The sequence below is a fragment of the Homo sapiens genome, chromosome 3, assembly GCF_000001405.40.
Source record: "Homo sapiens chromosome 3, GRCh38.p14 Primary Assembly".
Taxonomy (NCBI): Eukaryota; Metazoa; Chordata; class Mammalia; order Primates; family Hominidae; genus Homo; species Homo sapiens.
In genome coordinates this window covers 158,332,462-158,359,498 of record NC_000003.12, presented here as the reverse complement: position 1 = coordinate 158,359,498, position 27,037 = coordinate 158,332,462, and the positions used below count along the sequence as shown (strand labels likewise).

General features: G+C 36.6%; 1 protein-coding gene and 1 pseudogene across 5 annotated transcripts in view, besides 1 other annotated feature; one reads left to right on the top strand and one right to left on the bottom strand.

The window, feature by feature from the left end:
* RSRC1 (arginine and serine rich coiled-coil 1) overlaps positions 1-27,037 on the bottom strand; it is a 435,642-nt gene that overhangs the window by 186,232 nt on the left and 222,373 nt on the right. For all 5 annotated transcript variants that reach the window (NM_001271838.2, NM_016625.4, NM_001271834.2 and 2 more), the window contains one exon: positions 4,591-4,642. In NM_001271838.2, coding sequence (NP_001258767.1) covers positions 4,591-4,642 — 52 coding nt within the window. The remainder of the gene's footprint in view (positions 1-4,590; positions 4,643-27,037) is intronic.
* Positions 6,835-6,884: an enhancer, noted in NCBI's record as "active region_20746". NCBI's record gives its function as "activates an Ori minimal core promoter by ATAC-STARR-seq in GM12878 lymphoblastoid cells {active_cell/tissue: GM12878}" and the evidence as "EXISTENCE:reporter gene assay evidence [ECO:0000049][PMID:35858748]".
* Positions 22,439-23,251, top strand: LILRA2P1 (LILRA2 pseudogene 1; annotated as a pseudogene).

Genomic DNA, 27,037 nt, shown 5'->3' with positions numbered 1-27,037 from the left:
AGCAGCCGCACAGAGTTTTCCAGCCAGAAAAGCAACACCCCAAAGATCCGATAACACCAAAGAATCATCTAGCAGTGGTGTCTACAAAAATCAAGATGAAATACAAATTTTCTGGTGGCTACCACTTTTCAGGCTCTGGGCTAGGTATTTCATGTGTTATTATTTTCATAACAGTCCAACATGGCAGTTATTATCTTTCGCTCTTACAGATAAAGAAATTATGGTAAAGAGAAGCCCCCAAATACAAATACTTTCAAATAGGTAACTTAAATGTGTGATATGGTATAGTTGAGGCAATAGAGAACTGTTTTATACACTGCTATTGGTGCGAAAGTAAAATGGTTCAGCTGCTATGGAAAATGTTTTGTGGTTTCTCAGAAAATTAAACATAGAATTACCAAATGACCCCACTATCACCCTCCTAGGTATACACCTAAAAAACCTCCAAACAGGTACTCAAACAAGTACATATACACACATATTCAAATGTACTCACAATAGAATAAAGGTAGAAACAACCCAAATTTTATCAATGGATTAATAAGTTGTGTGTGTGTGTGTGTGTGTGTGTATGTTTGTGTGTATATATATATATACACACATACACACACATACTAAATGAAGGAAGCCAGACACACAAGGTCACAGATTATAGGATTCCATTTATATGAAATATCCAGAATAGACAAACGGAGACAGAGGGAGAATGGTGGTTGTCAAGGGCTTGGGGGAAAGGAAACTGGGGAGAAACTGCTAGTAGGTAAGCGGTTTCACTCTGGAGTGATTGCAATGTTTAGAACTAGATAGAATTGATGGTTGTACAAAACTGTGAATGTACTGAATGCCACTGAATTGTTCATTTTAAGCAATTATGATTAATTTTATGTTATGTAAATTTCACCTCAATGAACTAGAAAAAAACACACATCTGTCATATTTGATTAAAAAAACCCTCTGTTCTGGCTAAACAATAAACATTAAACTGCTCAAAGTTACAGAACAAGTGGTGATGGCAGGCTTAGGATCTTTCCACTATTCATTAGTGTCTCGCTACAGAAGTAATAGAATTGAAGCAGGAAGCCAATTAGGAGGTAATGGAATAAGCCATGAGTGAAATGTTTGGCATCTAGACTAAGGAGATGGCAGTGGGAGAGACAATAAAGGGATAAATACAAAAAAATTACACAAAATCAGAATAATTAAGTCCAGGTGAATTATCGCCTATAAAAGAGTCAAAGAAAATGTTCAAAGTTTTGAACCAAAGTACAAATATGTAATAGTTTAGCACATATAAAGTATGTTCCTAACCCAAATACAATAAAATCTCAGACTCAAATTTATGTTTGATATAATAATCATAACACCCTATAGGTACATTTTTTTAAATCTTATTTTAGTCCTTCATATGCCTTTCAGAATCATACCACTAAAAATCGTGGCTAAATATTCGAAACAGATTTTAATTCCAAACCAATAACATTATTAACATTTACTAATATCAATTACGATGCAATAGTTAAATATAAAACTTTCTTCTGGGACTCAGAGCTAGAGTAAACAACTAAGTCTAATCGTAGGATTTCTACATATTAACCTTATCTATCAAGTTATGCTGCTTGTAAGGCTAAAATTAATCCTGCGTCAAGAATCTAGCATAAGGCCTGAAGTCTTTGCCCATGGCCACTTTTAAGGCCCCCAAATCAAGGTGTTTTTCCTAGGAACCTAAGTGAACTCCAATGTGACAATGGGTACTACTAGACTTCCCTATCCATTTATCTCAACCTTGAGACTAGGCTGGACTGCAAAACTTACCAGACAGGTCTCAAGTTCTTCTTATTTATTTGCTTATTTTTAATAATATAATGAACACCTTAAAATTCATCACCAAAAAGACAACTAGAATCTTGACAGTAAGTTAGCTATGTACTCTTCCCCTACCTATCCATCTACTTGCCCTCTACTATGCCACAAGTTCTCATTAAAAACAATACTGGATATTTTTCAAAAAGGTGTAATATGTTATATCATATTATACAGCAACATATTCACGGAACTGGTATCAAAAAGCAATTCTAGTAAAACGATTACTTAACCAGTGGCAATGAAAAGTAGCACAAAGCTTTATAAAACAATACAGCAAAAATGTACAAAAAGCCATTCTATTAAATTGGTGCAAAAGTAACTGAGGTTTTGCCAAAACTGCAATTACTTTTGGACCAACCTGAAATGTTAATACCCTCTGACCTCATAAACTCATTTCTATAGTAACAAATCCCCCCAAAATAAAATAGAATATGACTAACACAATGTATAAGAGGGTGTTCATTACAGTGTTATTGGTAAGAGGGAAAAGTTGAACAACATAAATATTCAATAAAAAAGAGTGACTTAAAAACTTGAGTATTTAGCTAAGGTCTGTCTTTTGCTTATCGGGCCTAGGCCAAAATAAATTTTTTAACTTGAAAATTGTCATAATTTTGGATGCTTCTCAAATTCACAGAATCTAGCTCTTTATCCTTAGATACAATTTAGAACATTGAAGTTAAATGTTAGGGATGACAACTCAGATGGATATAAGCAAGTTATACACTGTGAGGTCTGGAGTATCACATCTATTTTCTAATGTGCTTCAAAATCATACTAAATATTTTTAAAAAACTGAATAAAACTATGAAATAAAATTATTTAAAATTGCATTTGTGGAAACAAATGTTTTCTGTGCTAAGCAACATAAATATTTTCCTTCAAAGCAAGGGTTTACTCAATTATGAGCTGGAATACTCAATTAGGAGCTGCAAATATTTTTTCAAAGCAAAATGCCATGCATATTATGTAAATGATATAGAATCAAATTAATTAGATTTATCCTACAGTATATTTTATTTGAGTGAAAATATTAAAAAAATTAACAAAATTTTAGTAAGTAATGTTTTCTACATAAAGATAAATAAGATAAAAACATAAACTATGAATTATTTTTAGAGTAATAAGGAGGAGTATAGAGACACTTCATCAAAACTAAAACATTGCCAATCTTTTTACCTACATGGTAAGTTACTTCTATTAGTAATTCAGGAAGCTAGTATACCGATCATACTGGAGTTCCCAATCTTTAGACTGTGGACACTTTAAATGAGAATACAAAGAACTAATGCAAGAGATCCTTTAATCAATATGCACATATGTATTTTCTTGATCAATGAATCCTAAAAATATAACTATTATCATTTGGTGGTCTGAAATTACTTTTGATGTTAAAATAGAATTCTCATTTTTCCAGCTTGAAATTATGAGCTCTTTATAGTAAAAAATTTTAAGAAATATATACAGTAGTCCCCCATCATCTGCAGCTGCAGTTTCATTTTCTGTGGTTTCAGTTACCTGCGGTCAACTGTGGTCCAAAAATAGGTGATTACAGTACAAGATATTTTGAGAGTGAGAGAAAGAAACCACATTTATATTTATTAAAGTATATTATTATAATTGTTCCATTTTATTATCATTATTAATCTCTTACCTAATCTATAAATTAAACTTTATCATAGGTATGTATGTATAGGAAAAAATATAGCGTGTGTATATGTGTGTGTGTATCTAGATACAGATATAAATTAGATATATAGATAGATAAATATAGATATAGATACAGGGTTTTGTACTACCCATGGTTTGAGACACCAACTGGACGCTTGGAAGACATCCACCATGTATAAGAGAGGACTATTGTACTACTCATTAAAACTTATTGTTTGAATAAGTTATATACATTTTTGAAGAGCACATTAAGATTCAAAGTAAAATATCAGCACTCAGAAAATATAGATCTTATATATTTTTAAAAAAGTAAAGTATTTAATGTCTATATGCAAGTGAACATGGTATCTAAAATCTAAGTCACAGCATTATAGTACCTTGAGAAATAAAACATACAGCACTTGAAGAGTACATGGTATCCAGAACATACAGTCCAGTGAGTTAGTCCAATGTAATTAGGGAAATTACTAAATGACACTGATCTCATTTTCTTTAGAACAATGAAAATCTCAACCTAAACATTACACCTTATTTAAAAAATTAAAATGGAGGAGTTAGTCTTAAATGTAAAGTGTAAAACCATAAAATATAAAGTTATATTTTATATAAATAAAAGCCATAAAATATAAAGTTTTATGGTTTTACATGTTACATTTAAGACTAACTCCTCCATTTTAATTTTTCTTTCAAAAGAAAGAAAATGTAAGAAAAAAATCATAATCTGGGATTAGTCAAAGAATTCTTAAACACATCACCAAAACCATAGTACATAAAAGACAAATTAATCAATTGGGCTTCATCAAAATAAAAAACTAAAACTGAAGCCAATTTTATAAATGAAAAGGTAAAGAATGACCTGTTAGCAATACACTTAGCATTATACTGCGGCAATAAATATTTCAGATAATATATGGCCATACATATAATCTAGATCTGATAAATTTGTGAGGATATATAAAAATAGTGTTTTTTTTTTTACTCATTTCTAAGCATGCTACCAGCCTAGGGTTTACTCGTCACTTCTTCATTTAATAAAAGTTAATTATCAACACTTACCAGCAGCTTCAAGAACCAGCTGTAGTCTGGCTTTGGCCTGTTCAGCTGGTGGCTAAAAAAGAAAAAAAAAAAAATTCAACCATACAAGACTTTTACAGGTCAGTTTTAATTGATGGAGTTTTAAATTAATGCATTTGTTTGCAAATATTAGGAAATTTAAAGAGCTTTAACATAATTTATATTAAAATCCATCACATCTTGCACTTGCATATATGATGCAAGAATGATAAGCTTCTTTCATTTTTTTTTCCTAGAAAAAGTTTTGCTTACTATCCAACATTGTATCAATCAGCAATAACATAATTAACTGAAATTTAATAACAAGGCAAGGCACACACATTTAACAACATATTCTTAAGTTGTGTTATTTCTTTGCACATAGAAACAGGCAAGCAATCTATGAGAATTTAAATAGCAACCTTTAAGTTCAATATTTGAGGTAAGTCAGACTCTAAAACCACTTTTCTGCTTTCCTAACTGGAATTTAAAGGAACAATTGTGATGAAGATAGGACACAATTTGGCTTATATGCTTCCGGCTCCTATGAACTGTCCTAAAATTGCTTTTTCAGTGAACCTTGATTCAATATAGTTGATAACAATGAAACTAAACTAATTTCCAGCCGGACGCAGTGGCTGACGCCCGTAATCCCAGCACTTTGGGAGGCCGAGGCGGGTGGATCACAAGGTCAAGAGATCGAGACCATCCTGGCCAACATGGTGAAACCCCATCTCTACTAAAAATACAAAAAGTAGCTGGGCATGGTGGCATGCACCTATAGTCCCAGCTACTTGGGAGGCTGAGGCAGGAGAATTGCTTGAACCTGGGAGGTTGCAGTGAGCCAAGATCGTGCCACTGTATCCAGCCTGGCAATAGAGCAAGACTCCGTCTCAAAAAAAAAAAAAAAAAAAAAGAAAAAGAAACTAAACTAATTTCCTACCAGTGACCACACTCTGAGATTTTTGGATAACATATTAAACAACAACAACAAATTATATCATGAATTATGTCAAGACTATGACTTTTTACTAAAGACCTGTTAAAAAAACTGTTGTCCATACTTGAGACTTCAATTAATATATTTATAAAGTTGTCAGCAATAAACAAAATAACCCCAGTTTTATATATGAAAATAATCACTTCAAAACTAATAATTTATGTGATATATTAGAATATTTTGCTATTTGTAAAAAGAAACCCAGCTTGAATAAAAGAATTAAATAACTGGATACAGAAAGAAGATGTTGTGCTCAGAAAAGTTTAAGAATTTGAATGGTCCTTCTGGAAAACCTATAGGAAACAAGATGGAAGAGTGGTAGATGAGACAAGTGAGGAGACTGGGAGAACGTATTATATCACAGAACAGGGATTAAGAGACTATAGACCTGGACCAGTGGCCTGGTTTCATAAATAAGTTTTACTGGGATATAGGCTATGCCATTTGTTTACATAGTGCCTACTGGCTTTTGTGATCAACTCAACAATAAGAGTTCATTATTTGTAGCAGGAATCTTAGGATCAGCAAAGCCTAAAATATTTATCTGGACCTTAAAGTGTGCCAACCCCTGCCATGGAAGATGAAGAGACTTAGAAAAATTTTAAACAAAGGGGAGATGTGATCAGATCTGCACTTTGATACATCACTCTAGCAATATTTTTGAGGATGAATTGAAAGGAATGTGTCTAGAGGCAAGGAGCTCAGTTAGGTGGCAATTAATGAATTCCAGGTGAGAGGAGGGCCTGAGCTGAAACAATAGCAGAAAGGTCAAACAGGACAACACAGATTTGAGAAATATTTAATTGGTAAAACAAAAGGACTGATTGGTTATTAGAGAAGGAGGAGATGACAACCAATAAAGACTACTTTATGTCATATGTTTAAGGGAAAATGTATGTAAGCACGCTTTATAAAGTATTGGAAATATGTGACATCAAATTAAAATATCAAAGCAAAATATCAATAGAAAACTGTGATATCTACTGAATATAAAAGTCATAAACTGTCTACAGGTATCAAGCCATTAATGCAAACATTTATGATGATAAATGGCAAATGACATTTGACATTAGTATCAGAAAGCACAGGGAAGTGTGGAGAACTGTGAAGCACATGCCCCAACTAAAGGAAGCAGCTGACACCCAGCACCAACTGATTGTGGTCATGCAGAAACGCAAGCCCAGGGTTACGAAATTTGTTACTTTTTCACAAGCATTTAAGTCACCATGAAAACCAGTACAGAATGTGGATAAATACAGTACTTTTACGGGCCAGATTCAAGCAGATCCTAAGCAAGCGAAGAATTAGGAAGCATACATGTCAGAGCATCCTTGTAAGTAGTGTCCTTTAATAGAAAAATCCTAGACATTTTACTGGTTAAGATATTTCATGACTAATTTTTTTTTGTATTTCATAAGGAAAGATTTTTTTAACAATTAAGAAATATTTAAGACATAGAAAATAAATACATAATAATGTATACCCAACATTCAATAAAATATTAATAGCAATATTGTCAGTTTTCTACTCCATGAAGTCTCCCTCTATAGAAGATCTCTTCCTCTCCACATCTATAACCATTATCTTGAAGATATAGTCACTACCATTCCTAAGGGAAGATTCTTTTTTCTTTTTTGTAAGAGATAGGGTCTCACTCTGTTGCCTAGGCTAACGTGCAGCAGTGTGATCATGGCTCACTGCAGTGTTGAACTCCTGGGCTTAAGTAATCTTCCTGCCTCAGCTCCCTGAGTAGCTAGGACTACAGGTGTGCACCACCACACCCAGCTCCTTTTTTCTGTTGTTTCATAGAGTTGGTGTCTCACCATGTTGCCCAGGTTGGTCTCAAACTCCTGGCCTCAAGCAATCCTCCCACCTAGGCCTCCCAAAGAGCTAGGACTACAGATGTGAGCCACTATGCCCAGCTAGGAAAGTCTTGATGGCTAATTATAATATTTATATATTATAATTATCTATTATATATATTTATATATATATAATATTTATATAATTATATATTATATAATAGTTATATATCATAATATTTATATAAATATACCTGTTAAGATATATTTATTTTTCACTAATAACTCCAACAATTTATAATACAGGATTCATATTTCAAAGACAAAGAAAACCAGGAAATAACAGCAGTTTAGTAACTTGCCTCTACTTGTAAATGATGAACTAAAACTAAGACTCTGACTCCAAATCTCAGGATCATTCTAACTAAATCACTAGGATACTCAGGAAATAAAATCAATTAATTCACATAGATATAAATGCATATAGAGTTTTGATTCCGTTTAAAAAAATTGTCCAAAATAATACACTTGACCCAGTAAATGAAATTTGATTCTAAAAATATTTGCCTATGCAGATATAACTTGCTAAATTTTATTTATGAAATACAGGGACGAACTCCAACTATGGGGATATACTGTTACATTGATCAAACTTTTAAAAGTAATCTGTATTTTATAGTTTTACTTTGCTTATATTTATTGCTCAAGCCTTTTTCTTCAATAGGTTGTACAGATGCAAATGTTCACTCACTTTTTGCCCATCTGCAAATAGCCTTTTCTTAGCGTGACTGGTGAATAAGTTGAATGAATATAGGATTCTTGGGCTGTCGTCTTTTTCCTCTCAGTGACCTGCTCCTCAAATCTTTCGTAAGGGCTCCCTTCCATTGTTTCTAGGCTTGAGTTTGTCTCAGAAGAAGGAAAGCATCACCACAGGCCTCTTGGCTGAAACCCTCTGCGTCCCACCTGTCTATCTGCATCAGTAGCTGCCTGGCTCAGAAAAAGTAGCTCAGTTGGAGATGAAAATGAAAATGAAGAGAAGGCAGTCTGATTTATGTTGCCTTCATTGTGACTGCTATCTATAGTTATTTTTTTTAAAGAAAGGATTAAGGAGGAAGAAAGAACAGAATATAGAATTAAAAAAAAATTTCATACCAACCCATTTTTAGTTACCTATCATCACACTAGCTGGCTTAGAATGAAAATACCTTTGGGGCCTGCGTGCTAAAATTTCTAATGCTTTAGTTATTTTAGCATGTATTAGACTCCAGGATCAGTATAAATTTCATCTAAAATTCGTAAATGGTATTAATCTTATTCAGAACCAGAAATTATACCTTAATGAATAAACAGTATTACCAAATACAGACGCAAAGAATATAGCAATTTCTCAAAAAAAATTTTAAATGGGGACATGTTTAAGAGCATAATGTCACAAGTACTTTATATGATAGAAACTTAATGAGAAAAAAATGTATTCCATTAAAAAACACTATTTCTACAGATAGAAGACCATGGGAAGACACAGAAAGAAGACAGCCATCTGCAGGCCAAGAAGAGAGGCCTTAGAAGGAACCAACCCTACTAACACTTTGATCTTGAACCTCTAGTCTCCAGGACAAAGAGAAAATACAGTTCTACGCTGGGCATGGTGGCTCATGCCCGTAATCTAGCACTTTGGGAGGCCAAGGCGGGCAGATCGCTTGAGCTCACAAGTTCGAGACCAGCCTGGGCAACATGGCAAAACTCCATCTCTACCAAAAACACAAAAATTAGACATGGTGTCATCCACCTGTGGTCCCAGCTACTTGAGAGACTGAGGTGGGAAGATAGCTTGAGCCTGGGAGGTGAAGACTGCAGTGAGCTGAGATCACACGACTGTACTCCAGCCTGGGTGATAGAGCCAGACCTTTTCTCAAAAAAAAAAAAAAAATTATATATATATATATATTTCTGTTGTTTAAGTAAAAAAACAGACAAACAAAAACCAACACCCAATATCAACAGTACATAATTAAAGAATATCACAAAAATAGAATTATAGAGAATATAAATATGACTCCCTTAAAACATAAATGGTAGTGTTGACATTAATAGAATTAATAGATCAGTGACAGCCTGGGCACGTGGCTCAAGCCTGTAATCCTAGCACTTTGGGAGGCCAAGGCAGGCAGATCACCCAAGGTCGGGAGTTCCAAACCAGCCTGACAAATATGGTGAAACTCTGTCTTTACTAAAAATACAAAAATTAGCTGGGCCTGGTGGCACACGCCTGTAATCCCAGTTACTCAGGAGGTTGAGGCAGGAGAATCGCCTGAACCCGCGAGGCAGACATTGCAATGAGCCGAGATTGTGCCACTGCACTCCAGCCTGGGTGACAAAGGGAGACCCTGTCTCAAAAAAAAAAAAAAAAAAAAAAAAGGGCAGTAAGAATAATGTAAACTTTTAGTGTAAGTCTTTAAAGGCCATATTAAAGTTAAAACTGACTATTATGAATAATAAAAAAGTCAGTACAGATACTGTACCATAATTTTGACTGTATAAAAGAAAACTGTAATGCTGTTAGAAATTTGTATCACATAGGGCTTAAAATTGCTAAAACTAGTAATAATTATTTGGTGGGAGCAAAGGCGGCTGGACTACTTAACTCCATTTGTAAGCCTTGGGTTTACAGAAGAGAATCACAAACGGTCCCATTAAAAACTGGGCAAAGAACATGAACAGAAATTTCTCAAAAGAAGAAATACAAGTGGCCAACAAACACATGAAAAAAATGCTCAACATTGCTAATCATCAGAGAAATGCAAATTTAAAACTACACTGAGATACCATCTTACACCACTCAGAACAGCTATTATTAAAAAGTTAAAAAAACAACAGACGTTAGTTAACATGGATGCACAGAAAAGGGAATGCTCACACACTGTTGATGGGGATTTAAATTAGTTCAACCTCTGTGGAAAACAGTAGGAGATATCTCAAAGAAATAAAAATAGAACCACCATTCAATCCTGTAATCTCATTACCCAAAAAAAAAGAGATCATTCTATAAAAAAGACACTTGATTGCAGTGTTATTTACAATATCAAAGTCATGAAACAAACCTAAGTGTCCACTTATAGTTGATTGGATAAAGAAAACGTGGTATATGTACACTATGGACTACTATGCAGCCACAAAAAAAGAACCAAATCATGTCCTTTGCAGCAACCTAGATGAAGCTGTAGGCCATTATCTTAAGTGAACTAACACTTAAGAAGCAGAAAGTCAAATATCACATGTTCTCAGTTATAAGTGAAAGCCAAGCTACACAAATGGTATACATGGACATAAAGATGGAGAAAACAGGCTCTAGAGATTCCAAAAGAGAGGAGGTTGGGAGGGGAGTGAGGGGTGAAAAGTTACCTACTGAGTACAATGTCCAATATGTGGATCATGACACACTAGAAGCCCGATCCCACCATTACACTTGTAATAAACATGTAACAAAAAAGCACATGTATCCCCAAACTCTAAAATAAAAAAAAATAAAATAATTTAAAAAAACACACAAAAACTTCTAAGATTAACCAAATGATAGGTCAGTCTCATAATGGCCTGTGGAGATGACCATTCTCAATGTCTAGAGTTTTTCCTGACTCTGGATTTATTCTTACCTCTTCAGTTCCTTATAAATTACTGCATATCTAGATTCTCAAAATACTGCCAAAGCATACATTCAAAACCAGCATAATCCTTTGAGCCACCCATGAGTGTATATTAATGATAAGAGAGAAGCCTATCCTTATATAAACTAGTTTACATACTAAACTATTGAAACTATTTGTTTACCTTTCTCACTTCCATTCATATTCAACTCCCTAAACCCCTGGCCACCACTATGGAAATTCTGAAAGTTGATGAAGTTAAAGCCATTCCATCTGCCAACAACACTTTTGAGGTTGTTAAAGAGAGAAAAGTAGAAAGTCTGAAACAAAAGACTGTGACTCACCTAAAAAGAACTCAAACTTGGAAACAAAATTAGATGTGCAATGTTTCAAAAAATCGAAATTAAGATAGGGTAACAAAGAAAATTAAAATTGTTTGTAACACAGAGGATAAATGCTTGAGGGGATGGATACCCCATTTACTCTGATGTGATTATTAAGCACTGCATGCCTATATTAAAATATTTCATGTATCTCATAAATATATACACCTACTACGTAATCACAAAAATTCAATTTTTTTAAAAAAAATAAAAAGAGAAACAACATTTGGGGTGGGCGTGGTGACTCATGCCTGTAATCCCAGCATTTTGGGAGGCTGAGGCAGGAGGATTGTTTGAAGCCATGAGTTCAAGACCAGCCTGGGCAATAAAGCAAGATCCTGTCTCTACACAACAAAACAATTAGTCAGCCATTAGTTGCACTACACATACAAGCCTGTAGTCCCAAGTATTTGGGAGGCAGAGGCGGGAGGATTATTTGAGCCCAGGAGTTTGAGGTTGCAGTGGGCTATGATTGTGTACTGCACTCCTGCCTCCAGACAGAGTAAGACTCCATCTCAAGAAAACAAAAAAAAATTAAGATCAGATTTAAGATTAGATTCAGATTTTTTGATATTGCCCTCAATTCCATATTATCATATGTTCTCTTTATACAAAAAGAATATAAAATAACCTTTAACCTACTTGTAAGAGAGTAATTGGAACTTCCTGTTTGAAGAGAATGTATAGTTGAAATAACTTCACATCTCATAGGGAAATGGTGCTAGAGTACTACTGGGCCCTTTACAGAGTCTTGTCACTACATTCAATCAACCGAAATTTATTACTTTCATTTGTTCAAAAAATTTTATAAACTATGTCTTCTATATAAGGTACTGTGTTACAAGTTGAGAATAAAAAGATGAAAAGATATAGTTCCTGACTTCAAGGATCTTACAGTATAATCAGAGAGAGAGAGTCAAAATAACAATGTAAAAAAAGAAATACTATTTACTATTTACTAAAATGTCTACATTGTGCCAAGCACATGTGTTACTCCTATTTTTCCTAAAACATTTTCAGATAGCTTTATTGAGGTATAATTGAACTACAATAAAGTGTATATATTTAACATATCTGGTCTTTAAATTCAGCACACAATTAGTTTGAAACTTATCCATGTTGTTATGTCTATCAACAATTCATTCTGTTTTATTGCTGGGTAGTATTCCACTGTAAGGATATACCCTAATTTCTTTATGCATTCAACTATCAATAAATGTTCAAAGTATTTCCAATTTTTGCTATTATAAAAGGTGCTAAGATTCAGGTACACATCTTTGTATAAATATGTGCTTTCATATCTCTTGGGTAAATATCTATAATTGAAATGGCTAAGTCATATGGTAAATATATGTTTAACTTTTTAAGAAACTACCAAGCTATTTCCAAAGTGTTTTTAGTATCCCACCAGTAGGGTATGAGAGTTACAGTTGCTCTACATCCCAACCATCACTTGGTAGAGTGAGTCTTCTTAATTTCAAAATTCTAGTAGGTATGTGGTGGTGTCTCATTGTGGTCTATATTTCCCTAATGAATAACGGTGTTGAGCATCTTTTCATGTACTGATTATCCATATATCTTCCTTGGTAAAATGGATGTTCAAATCTTTTGCCAATTTTTATTAGATTGTTTTCTCAAAATTGAGTTTCCAGAGTTTTTTAACAAAAGTAATTTATTTCATATAGTTTGCAAATTTGATATGCAAAATCCAACTGGACTTTTGATGAAATCCCATCCATCAATTTCTTCTTCTCCTTCTTTTTCTTTTTAAGAGGCAGGTTCTTGCTCTGTCATCCAGGCTGTAGTGCAGTGGCAGGACTGTAGCTCATTGCAGCTTCAAACTCCTGGGCTCTAGGGATCTGCCTGCCTTGGTCTCCCAAGGTGCTGGGATTACAGACATGAGCCACCATACTCTGCCAATTTCCTCTTTTAGGAATCAGGCTTTTATGGTGGTGTATTTAAGAAATCTTTACCTAATCTGAAGTCACAAAGATTTGTCCTGTATTTATACCTAGAAGTTTTATAGTTTTGTTTTACATTTAATTCTATGAAGACTTTCAATTAATTTTTTAATACAGTACAAGGTGTGCACTGAAAACCTTTTTTATTTGGGTACTATATATGGCTATCCAATTGTTCCAGCACCATCTGTGGAAAAGACTATCTTTTTTCCACTTAACTGACTTTGCATTTTTCTCAAAAATCAATTTACCATATATATATGATAAATATATATATTATTGTTTATTATTATATATAATGCATATATATGTGTGTAATACATATATATGTGTATATATATATATACACACACACATATATATGATGAGTCTCTTTCTAGACTCTAATTATGATCCATTGATCTATTTGTCAATAGTGATGCCAGCACCCCACTGTCTTGATTATTATTGCTTGGTATTAGTTCTTGAAATCAGATAGAGTAACACCTCTACCCTTCTTTTTCAATGCAGTTTTGGCTCTTCTAATTCCTTTGCATTCCCAATTTTTAGAATAAAGTTGTCCTTTTTTCTTCTTTTGTTTAAAGGCCTGCTGGGAGGATGCATGGGATTGAACCAACTCTACATATCAATTTGAGGAGAACTGACATCTTAACATTACTAAGTTTTAGCCTGGTATATCTTTTTCCACCATTTTTACCTGCTAATGTCTTTATATACTTAAAGTGTACTTTTTTAAGTAAGCAGCATGTAGTTGGATCTTGCTTTATTATACAATCTGAAAAACTGTGCTTTATAATTGGAATTTTTAGACCAACATACACTTACCGTAATTATTAATCTACCACATTGCAATTTACTTTTCTGCCTTCTCTTAGATTGGATTTTTTTTTTTTTTGAGACAGAATCTTGCTCTGTCGCCCACACTGGAGTGCAGCGGCACAATCTCGGCTCACTGCAACTTCTGCCTCCTGGGTTCAAGTGATTCTCTGCCTCAGCCTCCTGAGTAGCTGGGACTACAGGTGCCCGACACCATGCCCAGCTACATTTTTTTTTTTTTTATTTTTTAGTAGAGATGGGGTTTCACCATGTTGGCCAGACTGGTCTCAAACTCCCGACCTCAGGCGATCCGCCAGCCTCGGCCTCCCAAAGTGCTGGGATTACAGGCGTAAGCCACCGTGCCTGGCCTAGATTGGGTATTTTATAATGCTATTTTATATTCCTTGTTGGCTTATTGGCTTTAACTCTTCATTATACCATTTCTTCTATACTACCAAAAACTTACAATACTCCTTTCATTTCTCCCCTCCAAGCTTCCTTAGTATTAATGTCATTGTTGTCATATATTGCAATAAACTCCACAAAACATTGTTGTTGTTGATGCTTTAAGAAGTTATCTTATAAAGAGACATATTTATCCATGTGGTTAGCATTTCCTTCACTCTCTATTCTCTTATGTCAACCCAGGTTTTCATCTGGTGTCATTTTCCCTAATGCTAAAAGGGCACCCTGTGACATTTCTTGTGGTACAGATTATTTGGTGATGAGTTATTTCAGTTTTTGTATGTCTTTTTAAAAATATTCATTTGGCCTACATTTTTGAAAGAAATTATCTCAAGGTATAGAATTCAAATTTTATAAAACTTTTCTTTTGGTATTTTAATGATGTTACTTTACTGTCTGTGGTTTGCATTGTTTCCAATGAAAAATCTGCTTTCATACCTATTTGCATTCCTCTATGCATAATAATGAGTATATATTTTTCTCTGTTTTTAAGACTTTCCTTTCCATAACTGGTTTTAAAAAGCATTTTGATTATGATGTGACTTGATGTAATTTCATTCATCTTTTTATTTTTATTTTTTTGAGATGCAGTCTTGCTCTGTCGGCTAGGCTGAAGTGCAATGGCACTATCTCAGCTCACCACAACCTCAGCCTCCTGGGTTCAAGCAATTCTCCTGCCTCAGCCTTCCAAGTAGCTAGGATTACAGGCGCATGGCACCATGCCCGGCTAATTTTTTTATATTTTGTAGAGACGGGGTTTTACCATGTTGGCCTGACCTCAAGTGATCTACCCATCTCAGCCTCCCAAACGGCTGGGATTACAGACGTAAGCCATCGTACCCAGCCTCATTCATCTTTTTTTGTGTGTTTGGGGTTCACTGAGCTTCTTGGGTCTGTTGGTTTATAGTTTTTATCAAATTTGGAAAATTTTCAGTCATTATTCATTATTCTCTTTTTCTGCTGCTTCCTTTCCTTTCCTTTGGCAACTCCATGTATATTGTATGGTTGGCTACCTAAAGTTGTACCACAACTCACAAATGCTCTTCTAAGCCTTCTTTTTCTCTCTAGTTTCATTTTGGATAGTTCTTTTGCTATGTCTTCGAGCTCACTAATCCATTTTCTACAATGTATCATATCCCCTAATCTCATCCAGTGTATTTTTCATTTCAGCTGTATAGCCTTCGTGTCTAGAATTTTGTGTGTTTTTTAAAATAGTTTCCATGTCTCTACTTAATATGTTCACTCTTTCTGGTATAGCTCTCTGATCAGGTGCAATACAGTTATAATAACTCTATTAATAATGTCCTTGTCTACTAAATCTATCACTGTGTCAATTCTGGGTCAGTTTCACCTGATTTTTCTCTTTAACATACGGTGTATTTTCTTGCTTTCTCTTTAATATATGTTATATTTTCTTGCCTTTGGTCATTTTTGATAGGATGTCAGACATTTTTTTTGTGTGTCAGTGCCAGATATTTTTGTATTCCTATAAGTAGACTTGGAATTTTGTTCTAGGACACAGTTAAAGTACTTGGAAAGTAGTTTGATCCCTTCGCATCCTGCTTTGTTAGGCAGGACCACAACAGCTTTACATCTGTAATTTCCCCCCACTATTAAGGGAAGATGGTTTTTATACTCTATTTAAATACCATGAAGGTTGTTGAGAACAGGAACTGTGTGTGAGTACCAGTTATTGTTCCCACTAATCATTTTAGGTGGCTATTTCCCAAGCTTCAGTTTCCTCTTATGCATGTACTGATTAGTAGTCTGCTAAATACTCAAGGGGCACCCTGTGAGGATCTCCTGCAGCTCACTCCTCTCAGGTAACTTGTTCTGTGAATCCCAGATGCTTTGGCCTTCCTGGTCTCACAGCTCCATCTTCTCAACTCAAGGAGACCACTAGGCTCTGCCTGGGTTTCTCCTCTTTGTAGCATGATCTAGAATCTTTCTCTAGGCAGTAAGTTGAGGCAATCATAGGAATCACCTCATTTTTTTCCCCATCTCTCAGGAATCATCATACTTCATATTTGATGTTCACTGTCTCGAGAGCTGTTTTTTCAAATATTTTGTCCGCGTTTTTAGTTGTTTCAAGGAGAGTAAATCTGATTCTTGTTATTCCATCGTGACTGGAAGCTGCAGTCTATTATTTCTTTTAATACTAACAAGAATCTTGTGAAGGAAAATAACTTGCTGAAAGTCATATAGCCATGCATGTTAATAATAATTTATTATCTCTATGCATTAGTCTGTTTTCATGCAGCTGATAAGGACAAACCTGAAACTGGGAACAGAAAGAGGTTTAATTGGATTTATGGTTCCACATGGCTGGGGAGGCCTCAGAATCATGGCAGGAAGTGAAAGGCACTTCTTACATGGTGGTGGCAAGAGAAAAATGAGGAGGAAGCAAAAGCAGAAACCCCTGATAAACTCATCAGATCTCGTGAGACTTATTCACTATCACGAGAATAGCACGGGAAAGACTGGCCCCCATGATTCAATTACCTCCGCCAGGCTCTCTCCAACAACATGTGGGAATTCTGGAAGATACAATTCAAGTTGAGATTTGGTGGGGACACAGCCAAACCATATCATTCTGCCCTGGCCCTTCCAAATGTCATGTCCTCACATTTCAAAGCCAACCATGCCTTCCCAACAGTACCCCAAAGGCTTAACTCGTTTCAGCATTAACCCAAAAGTCCACAGTCCAAAGTATCATCTGAGACAAAGCAAATTCCTTCCGCCTATAAGCCTGTAAAATCGAAAGCAAGCTAGTTACTTCCCAGATACAATGTGGGTACAGGTATTGGGTAAATATAGCCATTCCAAATGGGAGACAACTGGCCAAAAGAAAGGGGTTACAGGGCCCATGCAAGTCCGAAATCCAGTGGGGCAGTCAAACTTTAAAGTTCCAAAATTATCTCCTTTGACTCCAGGTCTCAAATTCAGATTACGCTGATGCAAGAGGTGGGTTCCCATGGTCTTGGGCAGCTCCACCCCGTGACTTTGCCTGGTACAGCCTCCCTCCCGGCTGCTTTCATGGGCTAGCATTGAGTGTCTGTGGCTTTTCCAGGCACACGGTTCAAGCTGTCAATAGATCTGTGATTCTGGGGCCTGAAGGATGGTGGCCCTCTTCTCACAGATCTACTAGGCAGCACCCCACTAGGGACTCTGTGTGGGGGCTCTGACCCCATATTTCCATTCTGCACTGTCCTGGCAGAGGTTCTCCATTAGGGCCCTGCTCCTGCAGCAAACTTTTGCCTGGGCAACCAGGCGTTTCCAAACATCTCCTGAAATCTAGGCACAGGTTCCCAACCCTCAATTCATGACTTCTGTGCACCTGCAGGCTTAATAACACCTGGAAGCTTCCAGGGCTTGGGGCTTCCACCCTCTGAAGCTACAGCCCGAGCTGTACATTGGCTCTTTTCAGCCATGGCTGGAGTGGCTGGGACACAGGGCACGAAGTCCCTAGGCTGCACACAGCATAGGGACCTGGACCTGGCCCACGAAACCACTTTTTCCTGCTGGGTCTCTGGGCCTGTGATGGGAGGGGCTGCCATGAAGGTCTCTGACATGGCCTGGAGACATTTTCCCCATGGTCTTGGGGATTAACATGAGGCTCCTTACTACTTATGTAAATTTCTGCAGCCAGCTTGAATTTCTCCCCAGAGAATGTTTTTTTTTCTATTGCGTAGTCAGGCTGCAAATTTTCTGAACTTTTATGCTCTGTTTCTCTTTTAAGACTGAATGCCTTTAACAATACCCAAGTCACCTCTTGAATGCTTTGCTGCTTAGAAATTTCTTCCACCAGATACCCTAAATCATCCACAAATCTCTAGGGTGGGGGCAAAATGCCACCAGTCTCTCTGCTAAAACATAACAAGAGTCACCTTTGCTCCAGTTCCCAACAAGTTCCTCATCTCCATCTGTGACCACCTCAGCCTGGATTGTATTGTCCGTATCGCTATCAGCATTTTGGGCAAAGCCATTCAACAAGTCTCTAGGGAGTTCCAAACTTTCCCACATTTTCCTCCACAGGAGGTACTGTTCCAGCCTCTGCCTGTTACCCAGTTCCAAAGTCGTTTCCACATTTTCAGGTATCTTTTCAGCAACACCCCATTCTATTGGTACCAATTTACTGTATTAGTCCGTTTTCAAACTGCTAATAAAGACATACCCGACACTGGGAACAGAAAGAGGTTTAATTGGTCTTACAGTTCCACATGGCTGGGGAGGCCTCAAAATCATGGTGGGAGGCAAAAGGCACTTCTTTTTTTTGTCTTTCTTTTCTTTTTCTTTTTTTGAGACGGACTCTTGCTCTGTCGCCCAGGCTGGAGTGCAGTGGTGTGATCTCAGCTCACTGCAACCTCCGCCTCCCGGGTTCAAGCGATTCTCCTGCCTCAGCCTCCTGAGTAGCTAGGACTACAGGTGCATGCCATCATGCCCAGCTAATTTTTGTATTTTTAGTAGAGCCAGGGTTTCACCATATTGGGCAGGCTGGTCTTGAACTCCTGACCTTGTGATTCACCCACCTCGGCCTCCCAAAGTGCTGGGATTACAGGTGTAAGCCACCATGCCTGGCCAGGGAGCGGCAAGAGAAAAATGAGGAGGAAGCAAAAGCAGAAACCCCTGATAAAGTCATCAGATCTCGTGAGACTTATTCACTATCACGAGAATAGCACAGGAAAGACCAGCCCCCATGATTCAATTACCTCCCCCTGGATCCCTCCCACAACACATGGGAATTATGGGAGATACAATTCAAGTTGAGATTTAGTGGGGACACAGCCAAAGCATATCACTCTACATATAAATCTATATGTTGCCTTTGTCTCCATAACTTCCTGTTCCTAACTAATGAGTGTTCTTTCAAAGCTCAGCTCAAGTAACATCACTTTCAGAAAATCTCATCAGTTTTAGCTTATTTTCTCCCTAACTCTCTTCCTGATGATTACAATTTCCTGCTCTGTCTTCCTGTAATGCCCTGGGGAAACATGTATCAGCACACTTATCATTTTCAGTTTAATTAATTGTTCTGTTGTCTGTCTTTTCTACCAGGCTATCAGCTTTTTGAAAGCAACCATTGTCTTATATCTCTGTATCATTAGCACCTAGGAGAGTGCCTGAAATACAGTTGGTGATCAGTAAGTATATATTTGAGATAAACTTCCTTGTAAACTTTAAAATCCTCCTTAGTGTCATACATAATTTACTTTTGAATTATCAATTTCACTGAAATCTATCTCTTAGGAAGGATTCATCCAACTCAAAGAGCTGGATGTTTAAGGGAATGATAATGGTGTAAGAGAAATTACAACACATGGTAATAATAAACCACGTAATCTACATTATAAATAATAATTAACCAAACTATTTGGTAATACAATGGCAATTCTTAAAGTGATCTTATGAGCTCCAAATGCACATAAGTGATAACTTCTATGTGCCATATCTTTCCCAGACAACATGACAGACATTCCTGAAATAGAACATTAGCTGCCTGAAAAATATTAGTATCATTTTTTTTTTTTTTTTTTTTTTTTTTGAGACGGAGTCTCGCTCTGTCGCCCAGGCCGGACTGCGGACTGCAGTGGCGCAATCTCTGCTCACTGCAAGCTCCGCTTCCCGGGTTCACGCCATTCTCCTGCCTCAGCCTCCAGAATAGCTGGGACTACAGGCGCCCGCCACCGCGCCCGGCTAATTTTTTGTATTTTTAGTAGAGACGGGGTTTCACCTTGTTAGCCAGGATGGTCTCAATCTCCTGACCTCATGATCCATCCTCCTCGGCCTCCCAAAGTGCTGGGATTACAGGCGTGAGCCACCGCGCCCGGCCCTAGTATCATTTTTGAAAAAATATAATATCTATTATTTATCATATGCTTATAATGTTCGAGATCCCATGCTAAACATTTTACATACCTCATTTAACAAAATTCTCACAACATTCCTAACAAGGCAGGCATTCTTAATGCTTTTAGAGAAGAATAAGTTACCTTAAATGGCAAAGCTGACAAGGTGGCAGAGCTTGAATTTTAATTCAGCTCACAACATCTAAGCCTTAACAATACTACACTGCTTACAACAGCTTGAGATCCATTTGCTCATTAACTTTCATAGGGAAAAAAGATAAATCTAATCATTTTTAATTGCCAGAAAAGACTATGCAGAGTTAAAACTAAATTTCCTTTAGTCTTTGGATGCTACCATTAATGGCCTTAAAGGTTGTGAGCACCATCTAAAAAGCTAATTTTAATCATGCTTTCTCAGATGCACAACTTTAAAAAACTACTAAACATATTTGCAGTGTAGGTACTGTGCAGTTTCCTTTAAATGTAATCTCACTATGACAGAGACACATATCAACAGCTTATCATATTTCTAGCTACATTTCATTTTAACAGTTACTATAATTCTATCTCTTAGGATCAAGGTCTAAGCTAGAGATATTACAAATAGCTCAAAAGTAGATTTATCTTGCCTCTAGAACTTAGTACCAAGTTGGTTTAAATAAAAACCAAAAGAAGAAAAGAAAAAAACCCAAGAACATGTTTTCCATTCTTGATAGCAAATTCATCTGAAGAGTTTTATCAAACATTTTCTCTAAACAGTTTAAGGGGTTTGCAAAAAAAAAAAGCAAAGTTATATAATAGCTGTCTTTATTAAAAACCAGAGAAAGATGCCATTTTATATACATATTTCATAGATGAGGATGTTAAACTATAAAGGTGAAACTGAAGCAAAGGTTACAACATCCTTGAGGACTTGCTTGAGAGCCCATATTCATGATCCAATACTATTACCTCCTCAGTGATGCTGCTTGTATACTATACAAATACATAGCCATACAAAAGCCTCAGCATCTAATGAATTAAGAGCTGACTTAAAAATGTAGAATAATAATTCAATCTACCACAGATTTTGTACAGATTAAATGTAATCCTTCTCCATGTAATCATCATAAAATGAAAACTCAGTAAAGCGTTAGCTATTAAATTATTTCAGATTTTTGGAGAGAAGTGGTTCATGAGGGTATAAGGAAGGTAAGATTTTACATCGAGGCTACCTGTTTAGCTAGGAGAATCGATAGCATAGCTACTAAGTAAGGTGCAGCCAGGATGAGATAGGTTTTAGAACACAGGAAGGACTTAACATAATGGAGGTATCTTGTTTAGGTCAAAATTGACCCCCATGGACAGATTCAGTGCTAACAATATGTTAGGAATATAGAAAGGGAAGAAAGGGAAACTAATAATTATTCTAACCACCTCTCCAGCAATGCCTATTCTGGACAGTTTGTACCCACTATGATCATAGATTTGCAGGAACTCATCATCATTTCCCTATTATGTATGTAAAGAGATGGAAGCTCAGCATTAAGAAGCAAGGGCCATGCGCCCACACAGCATTTCAGAGCAGCTCTCGGATTGGCAGTTCTCCCTGTCCTGTTACTTAGTCTGAGACTCTCTTACCCCATGCTTTGTACAAAGATTAAAATGCTGATGTGGGACTGGGGACAGAAAAAACGGATCACATGAGACTGATTTTAGTTGGAAGTGCAGATGATGAATGTCTTCATGATAGCAAGGACTTCTGCAGCCCCACTCAGAAGGAGGTGGAATGAGGATGTGGAATGAGGATGTGGAATGTCTTCGCTCTCCGCGTGGGAAGCGGGACACTCCTACAACTTCCTGCAGGTCTTTCTCACATGGCAGAGGACCTGTTCTTCATAAGAGCAGCATTGGTGAGGCCAGGGAGACTGTTTAGACACAGGATCATAAATGTGGTTCTTCTTACCCTACTTTGTCTTGGGTCCTATCCATGCCAGTTAACTCAGGCACAGACGGGAAATCTCCCACCTCTTATCACGGCTATGCCGGGCTCCCTGATTTCATCTAACAAGTCTGTAAGCATCCTGGTCAAGGGCCATCAGAAACTGAAACACATAGGATATGTAACGTGGAAAGTCCTGAGCCCTCCAACAGAAATAAATGAGTGTGGGAAGACGAACATAAGGAATATCACAGAGATGCTGCCAAACAGGTCAGGGCTGTACCACTGTTACTACTGAAGCAGAGACCACTAGTCTGAGTGAACCTCTGAAGCTGGTAATGACCACAGCTTATGACAAACCCTTTCTCTCAATCATGCCAGGCACTGAGGTGGCATCACGAGAGAATATGAAGTTGCAATGTTTCTCAAAATTTGAACTTGGTTTATTTATTCTCACCAAATAAGATGGATTTCACACCACCAAGAACCAAAGGCAATGAACATCCCAGGGTAATGAACACAAGGCTGTCTTCCTCATGAACCGTGTCACCTCCACATGGGCAGGGACCTACAGATGCTTCAGTGTCATCAGCAATGACCCCAATGTGTGGTCTCACCCCAGTGACCCTCTGGAGCTGGGGGTCAAAGAATTTCCTGGCAATCCCACAAAGCCCAGCTATTCAATTGCCCTACCTCACAACCAAAGCCTCCCAGAGGAACCCCAGAACATTATGATTGGCATCCCCACCTCACCCTCATCTTTATCCTCCACCACTGCAAAACCAAAAACAATGCTGCCAAGAAAGAAAGGCAGCCAGGGGCCGGACCAATGAATGGAGAGGCCTCTGAAGCGTAGGACCATAGGATGTTACCTGTTCCCAGCTGACTTGCAGTGCCCTTACCCAGAGGACAACCGCAGCATCTTCCTCATTGCCTAGGCAGGCATAGACAAGTGAGTAGGCAAAATGTGCCCAAAGATAAGTGATGTGTCAGTGCAGAGCATATCATTTGGGCAGTAGAGCTTACAGTTGCGGATTAAATGAGTCCTCCTCTGGAATTACTGCTTCTAAATCTCTGGCAGTCAGCCTGACTGAGAGGATGCTACTGTGCACTTAATCTAGAGGCCTCAAGAATAAAGTTTCAGAATCTCTACTATCATTGCCCAATAACTCCCAAGACCCTTCCAAAGGTATCAAAAGAACAATATGGCAATTTTTCATAGATTCTAACTGTTCATCAATTAAACAAATTACTTTGGAAAAAAAACAAAACACCAAATACACAGCTGTATTTATTATTTACAAATTACCTATGGCTCCAAGTGGCAGAATTGAGTAGTTGCAATAGAGACTACAGGGCCCATAAATCCTAAATCTGGCCATTTATAAAAAACAGGCTGACCCATGATCTAGACTACTATTGACTCCAAATCTAGACTTTTGCAGCTATATCCTTTCTACTTATCCTTTCCATTGCATATACAGCTGCTAAAGTTATCTTCACAAAGCAAGGCTCCAATTTAGTTTGTACCTTAAAAAATACCTCAATGACCCTCCGCTGCTTCCAGAATTAAGCATAAACTTATCACTTTAATTTTCAATGCTATCAATAATATCCCAAGCTTATTCTTTCACTGTCATTTTTTAACCATTTTCATACTCATAGCCAACTTTTCAGCAATACATGGTCTTTCACTACTTCTCAACTAGGCCCTGCATTTTCCTCCCTCTGCTTTCACTCATGCCAAACCCTCTACTTGGAATTTCCTTTGTGTCCGGTCATTCTTAGTTATAAAAATGCTGAAATTCCACCATCTTTCTCTACCTCCACCTTGGTTGGTTGGATACAGTATGGTCTGCTTCACAATCTACAGAATATTCAAAATCTTTATTAAAAATGCTACAGACTGCCACCTCTCTATTCTTGCAAAATGAGTACCCTCTTCATTTCTTAGTTTCCTTTATTCCTAGTCCTAGCTTTGGAGCCTCAATACTGAAACCAACTTTTAACAGAAGTTAAGGCTTAGATTTGGAAAGGAAACAGCATTATGTGAAAGTTAAGTAGATGAAATAGAAAATTCTCTCCACTCTGTGGAGCCAAGGTAGGCAAAGAGATAGGAAAAAAACTTTGGCTATTTTAATGCAAGTTTAGAAACAAACAGGAAATGGAAGAAACAACAGACCAAATCACAATGTATTTGTAATGGCTACACATTATGCCACTAAGCAGAAATGTTTAAAATTCCCCTTTGAGTGGCTGGGTGCAGTGGCTCATGATTGTAATCCCAGCACTTTGTGGGGGCTGAGGTGGGCAGATCACGAGGTCAGGAGATCGAGACCATCCTGGACAACATGGTGAAACCCTGTCTCTACTAAAACACAACACATACACACACACACACACACACACACACACACACACACAAATTAGCTGGGTGTGGTGTCATGTGCCTATAATCCCAGCTACTTGGGAAGCTGAGGCAGGAGAATCCCTTGAACCAGGGAGTCGGAGGTTGCAGTGAGCTGAGATCGCACCACTGCACTCCAGCCTGGCGACACAGTGACTCCATCTTAAAAAAAAAAAAAAAATTCTCCTGTTAGAAATTGAGACCTTTTTAAAATAGCTAAACCAAGAGATTCTCCCATAAAAGCAAGAAATTACAGCTTTTAATATGTATCAGTTACTTATGACATTAGACCTCTATAAAATTTTAAAATAATTTCACACAAAACTAGTTATTTTTACTAATACTTTTAGACATGACACAGAGGTTAAAATAAAATTAGACTCAATAACAGTTGTTTATACTTTAAAAGGTAAAGTTCAAATAATTTCAAAGGTTCCTAAATTTTTTCTAAAATGAAAAGGTATGTGGTGGCATAATAAAAATAAACTTTATATAGTTTTAAACCCTGCTTTAGTATCTTCTTTTATTTAGCATCTTTATAGCCTTCTTTTTTTGCTGCCATAATTTTAAGTATCAGCACATTTTTTAGTCCATAAACATTAACATTTCAGGATGTTCTAGAAAACACGTTATTTTAAACAATTATATAAATGTCTTTCCTGACCCTTTTAGGATTCAGTTTAAAATAATACTTCCCACTTTTTAAATCCTTCTGTAGTGTTGCAATGGTTATTTGTAAGACACCCATTCTCTGTGCTACTTTTCTTTCAACTTCTACTTTTCTTTCAACTTCTTTATTTTGTCTCCCTTTGTATGACTGCTGGAAAGGGAATGGTGTTCTCCTGCAGCACCAATTACCTGGAACAGTCTACCTATTTCTCTCTTTGCTTTAGAGACTTCACATAGATTTTTAATTCCCTTGACAAAACCTTCTGTGTTTTTATTCCAAGTTATAATTTCTATCTTTGAATGCAGTTACTTTACTTTGCCTCTGATAGAGCTTTCAAATTTACTTTTTTGAAGCTTTGTCCTCACTCAATGAAAAGTGCTGAAAGTACTAGAATGCTTTTTACAATATGTTTTGTCCTAAAAAATATATTAAATATCGAGCTGTCTGAACCAATGTGTTCAAAATACACACTAATACAGATTAACCAACTAAAAAAGATCAAACACATACTTTATTTCATGCTACTATAAATGTGTTACAAAAAATAATTTTATTTAAATACTGTACTGAGAGATTTTTCTAGATGGAATATTTGCATAGAGGGCATGTTTCATAGTAATCACTAGTTTTATATGGTAGGAAAAAAGGCAAAACACAAAAGATTAATTGGATGTCAGAAGAACTGCATTCTAGAATTGACTGAGGGCTTTGGTTTCCTTACCTATGCAAGTCTGCTCATCACAATGTTTCTAAAAACAAAAAAGCGTTTGGGAGGCCAAGGTGGGCAGATCATGAGGTCAGGAAATCGAGACCATCCTGGCTACCATGGTGAAACCCTGTCTCTACTAAAAATACAAAAAATTAGCTGGGCATGGTGGCAGACACCTGTAGTCCCAGCTACTTGGGAGGCTGAGGCAGGCGAATGGCGTGAACCCGGGAGGCGGAGCTTGCAGTGAGCCAAGATAGCGCCACTGCAGTCCGGCCTGGGCGAAAGAGCGAGACTCTGTCTCAAAAAAAAAAAAAAACAAAAAACAGAAAAGCATCCCTAAGAGAAAAATGATTAAATAAATTATGGTCCAAATCCATGATGGAAGTAGCATAACAGTCAATTTTTCAAATGTAAAGACATTTAGTAACATGCAGAAATGCTAACATTACATTTTTTAAAAACTACAAAACTATGTAAAATGATCCAGATTTGGAAAAAAAAATTCAAAATAATATGCTATCATAGAAAAATACATAGCAAAATGGTAATAATTTTTCTTTTTCTTTTTTATCCTTAATCCTATCTGTTTTCTAAGTAAAATTTGACTGGATGGATCAGGGAAAAATGGATATTATGACAAAAGGAAAAAATCTTTAAAAGATAAGGAAAATAGTAAATTAAAAATTTTGAAGTTTATAATTAAGTACAAAGTATGTTTATATCACACGTTTTCATAAAAACAGTCTCCCTATTTAAGAAATGTTTAAGTTTTGCAAGAAATATTTAAGTTTTGCCTGTAATCTAACTTTTGACACCTACTCCTGCT